Genomic DNA, 16,707 nt, shown 5'->3' on the forward strand with positions numbered 1-16,707 from the left:
CCAGCTCTACAAAGCAGCCACCGCCCTCCCAGGCACATCCTAAGAGCTCTGCTGTGTTCGAGTGTCACTTCTGTGCTACAAGGCTTGCTATGATTTGAATGTCGTCTGTCCCCACCAAAAGTCATGTTGCAATCTGATTCCCAATGTGGCAGTGCTGGGAGCTGAGGTCTAGCAGGGGCTATCTGGGTCATGGGGGCAGATCCCTCATGACTAGATTAATGTCCTCCCTCAGGGGTGAGTTCTGGCTCTTGAAGGAATGGATGACTTCCCTCGAGAGTGGGTTGTTAAGACCCTGGTTACTCTCTTGCTTCCTCTTTCCATGTGATCTCTCTGCACACACCTGCTCCCCTTCCTCTTTCTGCCAAGAGCGGGAACAGCCTGAGGCCCTCACCAGATGCAGCTGCCCGTCATAGACTTCGCAGCCACCAGAATCAGGAGTTGAATAAACCTTTTCTTTATAAATTATGCAGACTCGGGTATTCTGTTATAGGAACACGAAACAGAATGAAACAGTGGTTTACAGGTATTGCCTCACAATCCTCCCAAGAACGATGATGGATGTATACTCACAGGGGCAATCTTGAGAGCTCAGAAAGGACAGGGAATCACCCTGAGCCACTGTTGTCCAGCATCAGGGTCAGGAGTCCAAAGCTGGAGCTCTTATGAAGTACTTTCCCCCTCCTTCTCCCACCTGTATCATGCACCAGAAACCACCACTGCCACCACCCGTGTCTCCTGCAGAATCCTAGAGAGGTTTCAAAGTGATGAGTCTGTCTCTCCATGTTGGTGAACCCTGAAACAGTCTACAGCCAAAAAAGCAGGAAAAGGGAAGACACAGGAAGCCGTGGCCACCTGCGAAGAGGAGAAGAGTGGACTGAGCTCCCAGAACCTGCGTGTGAGGAAGAAGAAGAGCACCTGGGAAGAAGACATCGGCATGAAACTCAGTCCTGGGCCGAAGGAGGCACAAGGTTCTACGTAGGACTCCGAGAATGATAGCTGCTGAAAAACGGGACAAGTTGTCCTGGGTGACTCCTTCCTGCAAATCACAAACATGCAAATCGAGGCTGGGCGCAGTGGCTCATCCTGTAATCCCAGCACTTTGGGAGGGCAAGGAAGGTGGATCACTTGAGGTCAAGAGTTCAAGACCAGCCTGGTGAACATGGTGAAACCCATCTCTACTAAAAATACACCAATTAGCCAGGGGTGGTGGCATGCACCTATAATCTCAGTTACTCAGGAGGCTGGGGCAGGAGAATCACTTGAACCCAGGATGTGGAGGCTGCAGTGAGCTGAGATGGTGCCACTACACTCTAGACTGGGTCACAGAGCGAGACTCCATCTCAACAAAACAAAACAAAAAAAAGGAAACACGCACATTGAGGCGGAACCTCAGAAACTGCCTGCAGTCACCAGCACCTGGGATGAGAGGCTTTAGTGACCCATCCCATTACCCACAAAGATTCGATGATTCTATCACTTCAGATCAGGGGAGACCAGAGCCTCCAATTTTCAGCCTCAACACTGAGACCGCTGGTTGCAGTTCTTTATTCTCCATACAATTCTAATCTATACTATTAGAATTTTACCAAAAGTTTTGTTTCTGTCAAATTTTAATTCATTACAACTACATTTCCCAATATACAGGGTTCTACAGACTTCAGTGCACATGGTTTCATTCAGTCAAGTTAACCAGGAGGTCAGAGGGTGCCACTGTGTCTCCCCTGCAGGAATCAGTAGAACACTAAGCTCTGTCCCTCTCTGCTGGTCTAAAGAAAACACTTAAAAAGGTAACCAAAAGTCAGACCTAGAATGGGATTTAAAAAAACTCAAACCTTCATGCCCAGCACTGATGACTTGAACTGTGCGTTATAACAAAGTCAAGCACAAAATTTACGGTTATTCACAATACAGCCTTTTAAAATGGGTCACGTACAACCCTTCCCCAGGCCTATGTGCCCCAAGGAGCTGATTCTCCAAAGACATTTCAATGAGCAATAGAAAAACACACAAAATGTTTATGGGGAGAGGTCTCATAAACCCAGAGCAAATATTTATAGCTGATTCATAAACCTCTTAAACCCATAAACATTTTATCAAGGAAATTCTGACAATCTCCCTCCATGTAAATGAACCAGTGGGAAGTATTTCCCCATGATGTCATGAAAACCGACTAGGAAAAGCTACGAAGAAAATTTCACAATTTAAAAGAAAACAGTGTTCATTAGCAGCGATCCAGTTTTAGAAAACAGAAAGCTATTTATGAGGCAAGAATATTTCATAAGAAACATAAAAAGAATACCTCACTATACCTTACTAGAAGCTGGAGTGTAAGTGACGTGAGAGTGAAAAATGGAATAAACAAACGGCCCATACATCTTTGTTTAAGGAATAAAATCTTGGGTTTGTACAATTTTACAATCTGAAACAAGGCTGACTTTACAAGGCTGAATATTAAAGCCTGTGCCCACTACACCAATAAAGGAACCGGGAATTGGCAGATTCAGGGTGAATGCTTACTGAGCACCTTCTTAGATGCTAGATATTTTTTTTAATGTGGAAAGAGACAGAAAGAAGACATTAAGTCTTTCTTCTTGTAAATACTGATAGTCATTTAATACTATCCTAAGATTTAGAAATTAGTTCCACCATGAGTATATTCATTGGAAGCATCTGTGCAAACAACTCAGAAAGGAACCGTGGCCACCTGCCTAGAATCTGAGCTCACAACTGCAGAGCCACCCCACAGGCAGGGACAGTCCTCACGGCACAAAGGTCCTCCTGACTCATCCAACTACCCGATGGCCAGAGTTACTCTAGGAGAAAAGAAAAAACCACACACACACACACACACACACACACACACACACACACACACACACACAAATCACCTAGCCAGGGGAAGCCACAGCTATTCAAAGGAGGGTTAAGGAAAAAAGGGAATACCATTGAGTCACACAGGACCAGTTCCCAGCGTGAAGAGTGAGGCCTGAATTTTTCTAAGAAAAATGTTGATTCCTTTCCTTCCCAAATAGAAGAGCCTGTGGTTCTCCAGTTAATACCAAATGCCAAGAAGAAGAATCAAGCTCACATTTTCAGCATAATTCTCTCCACTGAGGCTCACCCTGTCTAAATGTGCAACACCGCTTTATCTATAGACTTCATCAGGAAATTTCACGTCGCAAGCCTGTAAAAAGAATGTCAAGGAATCTACTGAACACTGTGTCAGCATATTGTTCTGCTTGCTTTTATCACAGCAACTGACAACGCCTGGAATCCCAGCATTGGAATTTCCGCACACTTCCTTCTTGGTGTCCCCTGGGATGATGCTGTCTATGGTGTCTGCTGGGGAGGCCACAGATCCTGAGCTATTTCCTCTCCCTGGGCTTATTCTAATCACATATTCAGTGTTCCTGGGAGAAAGAGTAATTTTATATTGTGCCTATTTCATTTACAGGACTTGGGTGTCGGTTATTGATCTCAACTGTGATTTGAGCTTTCCTTAGAAAAAGGTCCCCCCACCCTGTAGTCCCGGCACTTTGGGAGGCTGAGGTGGGCGGATCACGAGGTCAAGAGATCGAGACCATCCTGGCTGACATGGTGAAACTCCGTCTCTACTAAAAACACAAAAAATTAGCCAGGCGTGGTGGTGGGCACCTGTAATCCCAGCTACTGCGGAGGCTGAGGCAGGAGAATGGCGTGAACCCGAGAGGAGGAGCTTAAAGTGAGCGGAGATCACACCACTGCACTGCAGCCTGGGTGACAGAGCAAGACTCTGTCTCAAAAAAAAAAAAAAAAAAGGCCCTCCCACAAAAAAAAAAAAAAAAAAAAAAAAAAAAAAAGCCTGGTAATGAGACTGAGGCCAGCTGAAGTCTTCCTTCTTGGGGGCATCACTGCAAGGAATCATAGCCTCATAGCATCTCGGGGTGGACAGTGGCAAAAAAAAAAAAAACAAACATAAGAGAAAACACCCGGCCGAGTGTGGTGGCTCACGCCTGTAATCCCAGCACTTGGGAGGCCGAGGCGGGCAAATCACGAGGTCAGGAGATCGAGACCGTCCTGGCTAACATGGTGAAACCCCATCTCTACTAAAAATACAAAAATTAGCTGGGCATGGTGGCGGGCACCTGTAGTCCCAGCTACTTGGGAGGCTGAGGCAGGAGGATCACTTGAACCAGGGAGTCAGAGGTTGCAGTGAGCCGAGATCGCACCATTGCACTCCAGCCTGGGAGACAGAGCGAGACTCCATCTCAAAAAAAAAAAAAAAAAAAAAAAAAAAGAGAAAACACCCCAAGCGGGTTTGATTTTCCTTTCTTCGATCCCATAATTTTCTCAAGGAAAAACTTTAGTCACTTGAGTGTAGTCACTTGCGAGGGAGACAGTAACACAGTGGTCCCCAACCTTTTTGGCACCAGGGACTGGTTTTGTGGAAGACAATTAGGCACCGGTTTTGTAGAAGACAATTTTTCCACAGATACAGGGGATGGGAGGATGGTTTCAGGACAATTCAAGCACATTACATTTATTGTGCACTTTATTTCTATTATTATTACATTGTACTATATAATGAAATAATACTGTAACTCACCATGATATAGAATCAGTGGGAATCCTGGGCTTGTTTTCCTGCAACTAGACAGTCCCATCTGGGGGTGATGGGAGACAGTGACAGATCATCAGGCATTAGATTCTCATAAGGACCGTGCAACCTAGATCCCTGGCACATGCAGTTCACAATAGGGGTCACACTCCTATGAGAATCTAATGCCGCTGCTGATCTGACAGGAGGTGAAGCTCGGGCAGTAATGTGAGCAATGGGGAGCAGCTGTCAATACAGATGAAACTCAGCTCCCTCACCTGACACTCACCTCCTGTGGTGCAGCCCAGTTCGTAACAGCCCATGGACCAGTACCAATCTGTGGCCGGGGGGTTGGGAACCCCTGTAGAAATGTGTCACGGGACACAGGGGAGGTGGCACGGGAGGAAAGAGTAGGAAAGAACAACAAAGAATCTAAGTTGTGTCTGTACCCCCAAAATTTTGTGTGGGGGGGGGTTGTGTGTGTGGGGGGGAGGTGGGTGTGAATGTGGGGGTGTATGTGAATGGGTGGGAGTGTGTGTGTGGATGGGTGGATGGATGGATGTGAGTGTGTGTGTGCATGTGTATGTGGATGGGTGTGTGTGAGTGTATGGATGGGTGGATGATGGGTGTGAGTGTGGGTGTGAGTGTATGGATGGGTGGATGGATGGGTGGATGGATGGGTGTGAGTGTGGGTGTGTGTGGGTGTATGTGTGGATGTGTGATGGATGGGTGTGAGTGTGGGTGTGTGTGGGTGTACGTGTGGATGGGTGATGGATGGGTGTGAGTGTGGGTGTGTGTGGGTGTATGTGTGGATGGGTGGATGGATGGGTGTGAGTGTGGGTGTGTGTGGGTGTATGTGTGGATGGGTGATGGATGGGTGTGAGTGTGGGTGTGTGTGGGTGTATGTGTGGATGGGTGGATGGATGGGTGTGAGTGTGGGTGTGTGTGGGTGTATGTGTGGATGGGTGATGGATGGGTGTAAGTGTGGGTGTGTGTGGGTGTATGTGTGGATGGGTGGGTGGATAGATGGGTATGAGTGTGTGGGGGGGTGTATGTATAGATGGGTGGATGGATGGGTGTGAGTGTGTGTGTGTATGGCTGTGGGGTGGGTGTGAGTGTGGGTTGAGTGGATGGATGGGTGGATGGATGGGTGTGAGTGTGGGTGTGTGTGGGTGTATGTGTGGATGGGTGGATGGTCGGGTGTGTGCATGGGTGTGTGTGGCTGTGGGGTGGGTGTGTGGCTGTGGGGTGGTGTGAGTGTGGGTGTGTCGCTGTGGGGTGGTGTGAGTGTGGGTGTGTGTGGCTGTGGGGTGGGCGTGAGTGTGGGTGTGAGTGTATGGATGGGTGGGTAGGAGGCTGTTGGGATTTCCTGATGACTCATCTGTGCACTTGAAGGGGCAGGTGCCCCCCAGGGTTTCAGAGCACCAACTCCACAGCCTCACAATGCCTGAAATTAAATCTTGCTTCTAACACAGGGCTCAAGTCACTTCACCTTGTCGTCCAGTCTCCTCATCTGTGAAAGTGGGGCAATAAAAGCAGCTATGCCAGTGGGCTGTTGAATGCCAGTGGGCTGTTGAAGGATTAGGTGAATTAACACACGCAAAGAACTTAACATTTTCTGTGCCTGCCACACAGTCTGAACTCATACACCTATCATCGCGAGTCAGTTCAGAACCAGCTAAAGAACACTGGGTTTGCCTCCTCCTGTACGTGGGATGAGTAAGTCCCATCTGAAAATGCTTCCCAGGAGAAGACCTTCAGCACTAAGACTCTGCAACAGCCCCAAACCTGTCCCAGCTGGTCCCAGAACCAAATATCTCACCAAGTGATTCCAGGACTGGAAATATTTTGTGGGTTAGCAGATTGGAAAAAATAATAATAAACTACTTGTAGAATCATACTTAATAGTTTGAATGCTCAAAACTAGATTTTAGTAAAAAAAAAATAAGCTACTTGTGGAATGAAAATGCTCAAAACTAGATTTGAGTTTCTCAAGTGAATCCAGCCACTGTCCTCTGCAAAGTCTTAGACTCTGCTTTAAATGTGTGTCCTCTTTAAAGAGTCTGTATCGTCATCTAAAACTCTCCTCACCGCACAAGTAAATACAGAAATCCCAAGGCGAAAGGACAGATTAGCCACATGGGGGTGGAGAAAAATCTGAGCCAATATCTGAAAAATGTTAAGATCATTTAGAGCCATTTAGAAATAGTATTTCCATTAAAGATCTGAACATCCTGTATGATTTAGGCCATCCCCGATGCAAGAGCAAGGAACCAATCACAACATGAGTATACATGGGTTTTCTGCATGGACTCCCCCAGCCAAGGATATAATGATTCTCGCTCTCACACTTGCCATCCATACAGCCACCCTTAACGAAATGTCGGTACAAATCATTTTCCCGACACCAGATTATCATTAATGAGTTTCAGAAACTACTTAAGTTAGAGAGATACACTGCAACCGTGTGCACATGAAAAGCCAATACACAGTTGGTGTTTAAACAGTTTCCAAAACATATCATGAGAAATAACTCAGTAATCCACGTTGGATGTGTGCAGATGATATACTACAAAAATACCCTGAAAGCTCAGGAACTCCAGAATTTGAAAAATAACTTCACTCAGCAAACATAGGAAAGACTTTTTAAAAAGGGAAATCTGTACTTAAATAAAGTAGAATAATTAGGATGAACTTTCAGCCTATACAACTATGCCTTCTCAGAAAATAATTTCCATGTTTCCAGGGAGGAACAATGATCCAGCTTTACTTGCAGGAGAAGTCTTCTCCCATCTGGTTTATGTGTAGAAAAATCTGAAAGAGGGACAAATGAGCCGATTTGGAAACAGATACTAACGCCCTTCAACACAGTAAGGCCTTCCCTCATGTGAGGGTTTTCCAGGGTTTCTTCCATATAAAGATGTAATTTCATAAACTTAATCTAATAAATTCAATGATATGGAGCAACCTGTAATCTGTCATTGACTAGTCTCATCAAAATGTGAAGACAAACTTTGTGACTTCTTTGGACCATGGTCAAGTGACCTGCTAACTTAATGCGCAACATTTTTTATAGGAATTCACCATAGCTAATGTTTACAACTCAGAGGACTAAACTGTCCTTAAGTCATTTGCTGGTATGTATAAACAATGCAACCCTTTTTTTTTTAAAGGTATCCTTTCTAAATAAACCCTTTATTGTGTAAGTATTTAGAAAAAGATACATTTATGCATTTATAACTTCATTAGTTAAATAATTAAAATCCAATCAAGGCTAGGTGTGGTGAATCACACTTATAATCTCAGCACTTTGGGAGGCTAAGGCAGGAGGATCACTTGAGCCTAGTAGTTTAAGACAAGCCTGGACAACACAGTGAGACCCCATCTCCACAAAAAATTTAAAAGTCAGCAGGCACAGTGGGACACACCTGTAGTCCCAGCTATTGTGGAGGCTGAGGTGGGAAGATCACTTGGGCCCAAGAGGTCAAGGCTGCAGTGAGCCATGATTGCACCACCGTACTCCAACCTGGGCAACAGGTGAGATCCTGTCTCAAAACACACACACACACATACACACATACATACATACATACATACATACATACATACATACATACATACATTTGAATCGAAGGCTGTGTTTGAGTCCGAGGAGGGAGCTGTTCTGTTTTTCAGATTTCTGGAAGGGAGACGCACTTCACCACCAATCCGCATGACCTCACTTCCTTCCACACTGTATGCTTTTCTGACAGATGTGCTCAACATATTAGATGCTGTATCATCGGCATCTACTACGTAGGCAGATCTGGATGTCCTGTCTCTCTCTCTCCAGCACTTGGGAGGGAATTCTTTTTCCTAACCTCCCTTGCTGTGGCAGAAACATGCAACTAACTTCCTGTCAAGGGGTTCTGAGCAAAAATGGCATTTGTCTCTTGCGAGCCAGAGCAGATGACTGCTGGTCCGAGACCTCCAACCCTGCTCTTCTCACTCACAACAAACCCTGCAGGATGGTGCACAACGACTCCATGCTACGGTGATTTGTAGACGTTTCCTGCCCAGGCCACTGAGATTCTGAAGTGATGTGTTGCTGCACTATAACCTAGTCCTCTCTGTCTAGTATTCAAAATAAGAATCTTGACCCAAATTTTAGAGCGGCCATATCCTTATAAATAGGACTTCAAATCCCAGGAACCAGACAGTATGTGAGATCTACAAATGTTGCCCCATTGTTTCCTGAATACTTTCAGGAAGATATTGATCAATTCATCAAAAATCCAGATGAATCTCGAAAACAAAATCCTACCAGAATCAAGGTCTCCATTTCCATTAGCTGAGCCGAGACACTTTTCCAAGGGTGAAGATGAAGGGTCTTGCATATTGGAAGCTGACAAAGTGCTCTCCATGCCTGATGAGCAAGTGTCTCTTCTCTTAATTCATCCTGCAGAAAAAATTACCTAAGAGCAATCAAAAAAAAAAAAATCAGAGCAGTTTAATCATATTGATTATATTCACTTATTTTTAATTTTGTTTAAAAAAAACCTTATTAGTGCCACTACCATTTCATTATAACTTTCAAGATGCAACATAATGTTGTAATAGAAAATACCAGGAATAAGTATTCTAGTACACTGAGGCCAGGTGCAGTGGCTCATGCCTGTAATCCTAGCACTTTGGGAGACCGAGGTGGGTGGATCACTTGAGGTCAGGAGTTCGAGACCACCCTAGCCAACATGGTGAAACCCTGTCTCTACTGAAAATACAAAAGTGAGTCAGGAGTGGTGGCATGCACCTGCAATTACAGCTACTCAGGAGGCTGAGGCAGGAGAATCGCTTGAACCTGGGAGGCAGAGATTGCAGTGAGCTGAGATCACACCACTGCACTCCAGCCTGTGAAACAGAGTGAGGCTTTGTCTCAAAAAAAAAATTAATTAATTAGTTAAAAAGACTAATGAGTACATCTCTACACAGGTCAACAATAAAGGTCTCGGCGTAGCAAAACCATCCGTGTTCTAGAGGTCATTATCACCACTAAGATGGACACATATTTCACGAACAGAAACTTGCATTTCAGTCCTCGATCCACCATGGCAACATTGGTAAGACACTCCCCCCGCCTTGAAGCTATGTAGCAGCAACCTCCACCCCCCACACAACCTCAGCATCCCACGCGCAGGTACTGCAACACGCAGTGCCCTGCCTCAGGAAGAAGTCCTCACGTGTTACACATGATCTGTTACCAAAACCAGTTAAAGTATCGATGTTTGTCAATAATGTGCTTTTTCACAAAGCAGAAATGGAGACAAGACTTTCCCTACGATAGCACTGCTATTCCCCGCTTGTCTTCTAATAAGACTGCTGGAAAAAGCAGCAACATTAGAGCTGGTTCCCACAGAATCCTACTCTCCAGCTCCTTTATGTCAGGGCCCAGGAGATACCAGGAGTAATCGTTAACCATCGAGCAGCCATACCTGGCTCCGATGCTCAGACACAGCTCACATGGTGTTTTTAAACCACCACGACCACATGGTGTTTCTCTCATTCATTCAATGTTCTATGTCACACATAGAGAGAAGTTTAAATCAGCCAACAGGAAAGTAGAGATGAAGAAACAAAAGAATATAATGCACCTGTATCTATCAATGGGATATTTTGTGACTCACATAGTGGTAAAATATCTTTTAAAAAACATTCGGAGGTTTTGTCAAAATTGAAGATTCATGCCAGGTGCAGTGGGTAGCCTACCTGCACCTGTCATCCCAGCTACTTGGGAGGCTGAGGCGGGAGGATCATTTGAGCTCAGGAGTTCATGGTCAGCCTGGGCAATGTATTGAGACCCCCATCTCTAAATAAACAAAAAACAGGAGGTTCATGAAAGAGCATGTTACTCATTTGTGCAATGGGAGAGAAAAAGCTGGAAACTCATGCCAGGAACAAGTAGGAAGAGATGGGGAATGTACCAGGTACATAGCACTGAAATTTAATTCAAAGTGCATTGAGCTATCCACCTGTTGTATTTAACGTACTATACCAGACACTGTGGAGAGGACAGGAAGCTACTTCTCAACCACAGTACAAAGAAAGAAAATACCTGTTTCGGAGAATGAACTATAAAACTATCCGGAGTGGGTCGGCAAACAGCAATCTAGGCATTTTGCTACTACAAAGATAAGTTCTTGACTAAGCCAAGGGAATGACAGTGCAACAGAGAAGGCCCCTGTCAATGCGAGATTATCGCTCCCTCACTTTCTCAGCACAGGGCCTTATGTTTTCTGAGACAAAAATGAGGGCACAAGGTTTGAGGCGTAGAAGTCAACATCAGTGATACAAGTAACTTAAACCAGGACTTTCCTGATTTAAAGTGTGAGAGCTATGGGTAAAATGCAGTGTACTAGGTCCTAAACAGTTTCTTCAGCTTGTTTTAAAATCACAGAAAGGCTGAGTGCGGTGGCTCATGCCTGTAATCCCAGCACTTTGGGAGGCTGAGGCAAGCAGATCATCTGAGGTTAGGAGTTCAAGACCAGCCTGACCAATACGGTGAAAGCCCATCTCTACTAAAAATACAAAAATTAGCCAGGCATGGTGGCACATGTCTGTAATCCCAGCTACTCGGGAAGCTGAGGCAGGAGAATCGCTTGAACCCGGGAGGCGGAGGTTGTGGTGAGCTGAGATCGCGCCATTGCTCTCCAGCCTAGGCAACAAGAGCAAAACTCCATCTCAAAAAAAAAAAAAAAAAAAAAAAAAAACAACCACAGAAAGGACAAATAAGTACCATCCCTGAAGAGAAATGGACATGACGTGCTCACTGTGGCACCGTCTGGGGCACCTCGGAGGAAGCGAGTGAGCACAATCTTAACCGTGGCCCTCTAGATGCCTAAATCTAAGGCAGGTAGTGTAAGAAAATACGGTATCTACAGAAACGACCTGAACCAAAATACAAACTGAGTTTGCTTCGTTCATAATGAAAATGAAATTTTTTAAATAGTGAAATCCTTTTTTAACAGTTTTTAATAATGAAAATAACGGTTTTTTAATAAAAAAAAATGAAGTTATCTTATATCCCCAGTGAATCATCTGCAATGTAATGAGCTTAGTTTCCGAAAGCTTAGCTGGAATCGACACTAAATGAAGGAACCTTTTAACAGCTGGAGGGGTTCTAAGATTTTTGCTGTTGTTGTTAACGGAGGACATTGGTAAACTGAGCAATTTACTATGGAGGCTGGCTACATTTTACCCCTGTGGGTATCAGTTTGCTAAAAGAACCCTCCGAATGATGGACAGAGCTGCATTCTTCTAAGAGCAATCCTTCCAGATTCCTGTGATGACAGGGGCACAAAAATCTGGACGTAGGAACTACCTCCTTCACAACAATCAACCCACTGCATTGGCGGCCACAGAACTAAACATCACCTAACACCGAACTGACCTGCTCACACCTTGTCTCAGAAGGTTCCAGAGATTTCCTCCCATGAGCTGCACACAGCAGAGGAAAGGCTGCCTGCCAAGGGCACTCTAAGGTCTTCTGCGCTACACCTGGAGCTTACAGTGGGTAGCAGGACCCCCAGTTCACCTGGATTGCCCCTGGCATGCAGGGAGCGAGCACTGAGGCACTCTGTAAACAAACTACTTGTTGATAAGCAAGTGTGTCCATCCAACCAAATACCCAAGCGTCCACTGAGAATGTTCAGAGGGTACCTGGAATATTACAAAGGGTAAGATATGCACCCTCCACCCCTCACCTCTACCCCATGTAAGGAAGCGCGGTTATGAGATGACAGGATCACGTGGTCACTGAGGAAGAGAGACAGCATCCACAGACTCCAGAAGCCACAGGTGGCATGGGCTTGGAGAGCGGAGGGTGGCAGCCCACTGTGGAATGCTCAGCTCTCCCAGCTCTCCCTCCAGTGATCACTCAGGGAAAATACCGGGAATGTGGAGGGGAGAAGGGTGTGCAACTGAAGGAAAAAGGTAGGAACTGAAACACGTGGAGCAAACAAAGGTAAACCAGGGAAGAAAAAGGGAGGAGACAATGCCAGAATGTATCCAGGAGAAAGGGGCCTTGAAGGCATATGACGGAGCCCCAAAAACAATGATCATAACAAAAAACACAGCTCCATGAAAAGCTTAGAGCTATGGACACAGGAGTACAAGCACGGAAAGGGCACAGGGAGAACACTCAAACGAGCTAAGGCAGGGAGGGATTCCAGTACGAAAGCCCCTCTCCTGGCCAGGCACAGTGGCTCACGCCTGTAATCCCAGCACTTTGGGAGGCCGAGGCGGGCGGATCACGAGGTCAGGAGATCAAGACCATCCTGGCTAACACGGTGAAACCCCGTCTCTACTAAAAATACAAAAAAATTAGCCAGGCGTGGTGGTGGGCACCTGTAGTCCCAGCTACTCAGGAGACTGAGGCAGGAGAATGGCGTGAACCCGGGAGGCAGAGCTTGCAGTGAGCCCAGATCGTGCCACTGCACTCCAGCCTGGGGGAGAGAGACTCTGTCTCAAAAAAACATAACAAAAAAAAGCCCCTCTCCTTACAAGCTCTCAGATTTCAAACTTTCATAGATAAGAGCAAAACCACAATCCAGGAAAAAATAATAAAAAGCGAGCAGTGTTTCACAATCCACATTTCAGCCTGGCCATCTCAGGATGGCTCATGCTCAGGGACGGCTTCCCTGTGCTGAGTGTATGTGTGTATTTTGTGGGTATGTGATTACTTTCGAGACATTTAAAGAACACAACTCCATCTTGTCCAGTAAGTACAAAAGCAATAGTAGTGTCCTAGTGAGAAGAGACAGAAGCTTATTATGGTGGGGAAAAAATTAAAATTCTGCGTATGTGGGCCAGGGGAGTGGTTCGCAATCCCAGAGCTTTGGGAGGCCAAGGTGGGCAGATTACCTGAGGCCAGGTGTTTGAGACCAGCCTGGCCAATGTGGTGAAACCCATCTCTACTAAAAATACAAAAATTAGCCAGGCATGGTGGCACATGCCTGTAATCCCAGCTATTTAGGAGGCTGTGGCACAAGAATTGCTTGAACCCAGGAGGCAGAGGTTGCAGTGAGCTGATATCATGCCACTGCACTCCAGCCTAGGAGTCGGAGCAAAAAAAAAAATTCTGTGTATGTGAACCCACTGGTCATTGGTTAGGTGATTTGGAGTTAAAATGAATGGACTTCTCAGCAGTCTTGGGAACCTAAACCTGTTGGTAAGAGGAGGAGCTTCTGTCGCTCCAAAGAGAAGAAATGGAAGTGTTAGCATGGTAAGCATGCATTTACGATCATTTTATTTTACCAACACTTACAGTGATTACTAAGTACATAATAAACATGCACTTATTTAATCCTCAGAACTCTAGGATGTAGGTTATATTACTGTTCCCATCTTACAGATAAGCAACCTAAGGGATGAAGTCACCTGCTCAGCATCACAGAGCCGCTAGTGGTGGGGCTGCGGTTTGAACCCACACAACTGGCTCCAGAAACCACGCCCTAACCAGTCAATTACAGTTCCCTTTCCCCCATTATCCACATTTCCCATAATGCAGCTATGACTTTTATATTTTTACTTAAATCATCGATTTTTAATAACTGAGCACCTATTGTGGGGAAGGGGCAATGAAAAGAAATAAAACTAAACTAGGGAGTGGCAGGGACCCCACACAGTGTCATCTGTGAGCACTCAACACTCCTAGGCATGGAGCATTTTTCTCCAAATTAATTCCTCCTGAAAAGCTTTCCTCAAGAGCTTACAGTAAACTTTTCTTAGCAAATTCTAAGACACATACAATTTTAAAACTAATGCCAGACAGATAAGTGCTGATACCATGCAGTTTTCTTGTGTGTGTATTAATGGAACATCTGATTTATTTATGCCAGACACCACGTTGGGCACTGGGGACAGACATATAAATACCAGTGGCTGCCAGCAAGGACAAGTGGCTGCTAAAAGCAAGTCTGTCCGTCCAACCGCACACATAACCACCACCAAGTCCACCAAGAATGTACCTGGAATCCCACGAAGGACAAGATGCAAATATCAACAAGGATAGGAAGGCGAGCTTGGGTGGGCCGGGGGGTGCATCAAAGCGGAACAGAAAATTAGGAGAGGCTCAAGAGGAAATGCCCAGAGGAGCCGAGGATAAGAGGAAACCAAAGGAGGATGGGCATGGTGGCTCACGTCTGTAATCCCAGCACTTTGGGAGGCTGAAGCGGGCAGATCACTTGAGGCCAGGAGTTTGAGACCAGCCTGGCCAACATGGCGAAACCCTGTCTCTATTAAAAATAGGAAAAAAAAAAAAAAAAACCAATTAGCTGGGTATGGTCGTGTGCACCTGTAATCCCAGCTACTCAGGAGGCTGAGGCAGAAGAATTGCTTGAACCCGGGAGGCAGAGGTTGCAGTGAGTTGAGATGGCTCCCACTGCACTCCAGCCTGGACGACAGAGCAACTCTGTTTCAAAAAAAAAAAAAAAAGGTAGAAAAGCCATTAAACGTGGAGGTACCAGCAGCAAACAGCATGGCAGACCCTTGGGAAAAAGTCTAAGGTGCCTCAAGGGAGAGGGTGGGAGACAGGAACGTGGAGCAAGCGGCATCACGCCCATTCATCCCCAAATATGTACTGATCCCCCATTCCATGTCAGGCACTGTTCCAGGCATGCGAAGGCATCTGTAACAAAACAAAACAAAAAATTCCTGCCCTGGTAGAGATCTCATCCTAATTGGGAGAAAGAGCCAATGGAGTTTTTTTTTTTTTTAATTAGTAGGTGATATAGCCTGTTAGATGGTGATAAGTGCTATAGGGAAAAATGAAGCAGAAAAGATCAGGCAAACAAAGAAGGATGATGATGATGATGATGATGATGATGATGATGATGATGATGATTGAGATGGAGTATTTGCTCTTGTTCACCCAGGCTAGAGTGCAATGGCCCAATCTTGGCTCACTGCAACCTCCACCTCCCAGGTTCAAGCAATTCTCCTGCCTCAGTCTCCCGAGTAGCTGGGATTACAGGTGCACCTGACCATACCCAGCTAATTTTTTTTTTTTTTTTTTTTTTTTGTATTTTAGTAGAGACGGAATTTCACCATGTTGGCCAGGCTGGTCTCAAACTCCTGGCCTCAAGTGATCTGTCCGCCTCTGGCTCCCAAAGTGCTAGGATTATAGACATGAGCCACCACACCCCACCAGAAGGATGATAATTATTTACATGACAGTCAGGCAAGACCTCAGGAAGTGATATCTGAACAAAGACTTGGGGTGAGAACAGAGAGGCAGGCTGAGCCCAGGTGAGAAGAGAATGTTTGCTACAGTAAGGGCCCGAGCCCTGCGTGTCACTCTGCAGATGGAGTGGATGTGGCAGGGTGTTCCAGGAAGTGAAATGATCAGGTTTGTTTCAGAAAAAGCACTCAGGGAGCCATAGGCGAGATGGATGAATGGAAACAAACTAAAAACATGGAAGTGCAGGCAAGGGTGTGAACTAAGACAGTGGAGAAGAAATGAAGGGAACAGGTCCAAGAAGTATTTGAGAGGCCCCATCAACAGAACGCCGTAGAAATTATGTTAACAAAATGCAATCTTTTCACAGCACACAGTCACAGTTCCTAGAATAAATTACTTCACTTTCCACAGCAACTAATGGAACCTATGCAGTGTCTGTGGAAACAGATAATTCTTGGGGAAACCTATCAAATATGAGAATAATAACCCACTTCACAGGAATTTCTATTTACATTCAATGGGATGTTTTTGGGGGGTTAGAGGGGCAAATCTTGGTGGTGACAACTGCTCCACCCATAAGCTTTGCAAAATAGAAACAGTATATTTTTAAAAAGCCTTTTCCTAACTACAACACCCTAACCCCCCAAAAAGGCTATTATTAAAAGAAAGCGTATTTCCTTTTGTTTCTTAAGCTATACGTAATTTCAAGAACAAAGTAAAAGTGTCTATTAATTAAAGTAACAGTTTTTTCCAAAGACAATACAAAAAACATTCAGAAGACTGGGCTTATAAAAGGTAACTTCCTGTTTTATACAATACACTTTGTGGTTTTGTACAAAGTTAACTCTACTATAATAGGCTCCTTTTGTCTCTGTTGGACAACAGAATTCTAGTACTGGAACTTCTTACAAGAGTTGTC

At 45.2% G+C, this 16,707-nt stretch overlaps 1 protein-coding gene across 7 annotated transcripts in view; it reads right to left on the reverse strand.

The window, feature by feature from the left end:
- SFMBT2 (Scm like with four mbt domains 2) overlaps positions 1-16,707 on the reverse strand; it is a 252,867-nt gene that overhangs the window by 214,296 nt on the left and 21,864 nt on the right. For all 7 annotated transcript variants that reach the window (NM_001029880.3, NM_001387890.1, NM_001387889.1 and 4 more), the window contains exon 2: positions 8,880-9,030. In NM_001029880.3, the coding sequence (NP_001025051.1) occupies positions 8,880-8,979 (100 nt within the window). In that variant the 5' untranslated portion in view covers positions 8,980-9,030. The remainder of the gene's footprint in view (positions 1-8,879; positions 9,031-16,707) is intronic.

The sequence above is a fragment of the Homo sapiens genome, chromosome 10 (assembly GCF_000001405.40).
Source record: "Homo sapiens chromosome 10, GRCh38.p14 Primary Assembly".
Taxonomy (NCBI): Eukaryota; Metazoa; Chordata; class Mammalia; order Primates; family Hominidae; genus Homo; species Homo sapiens.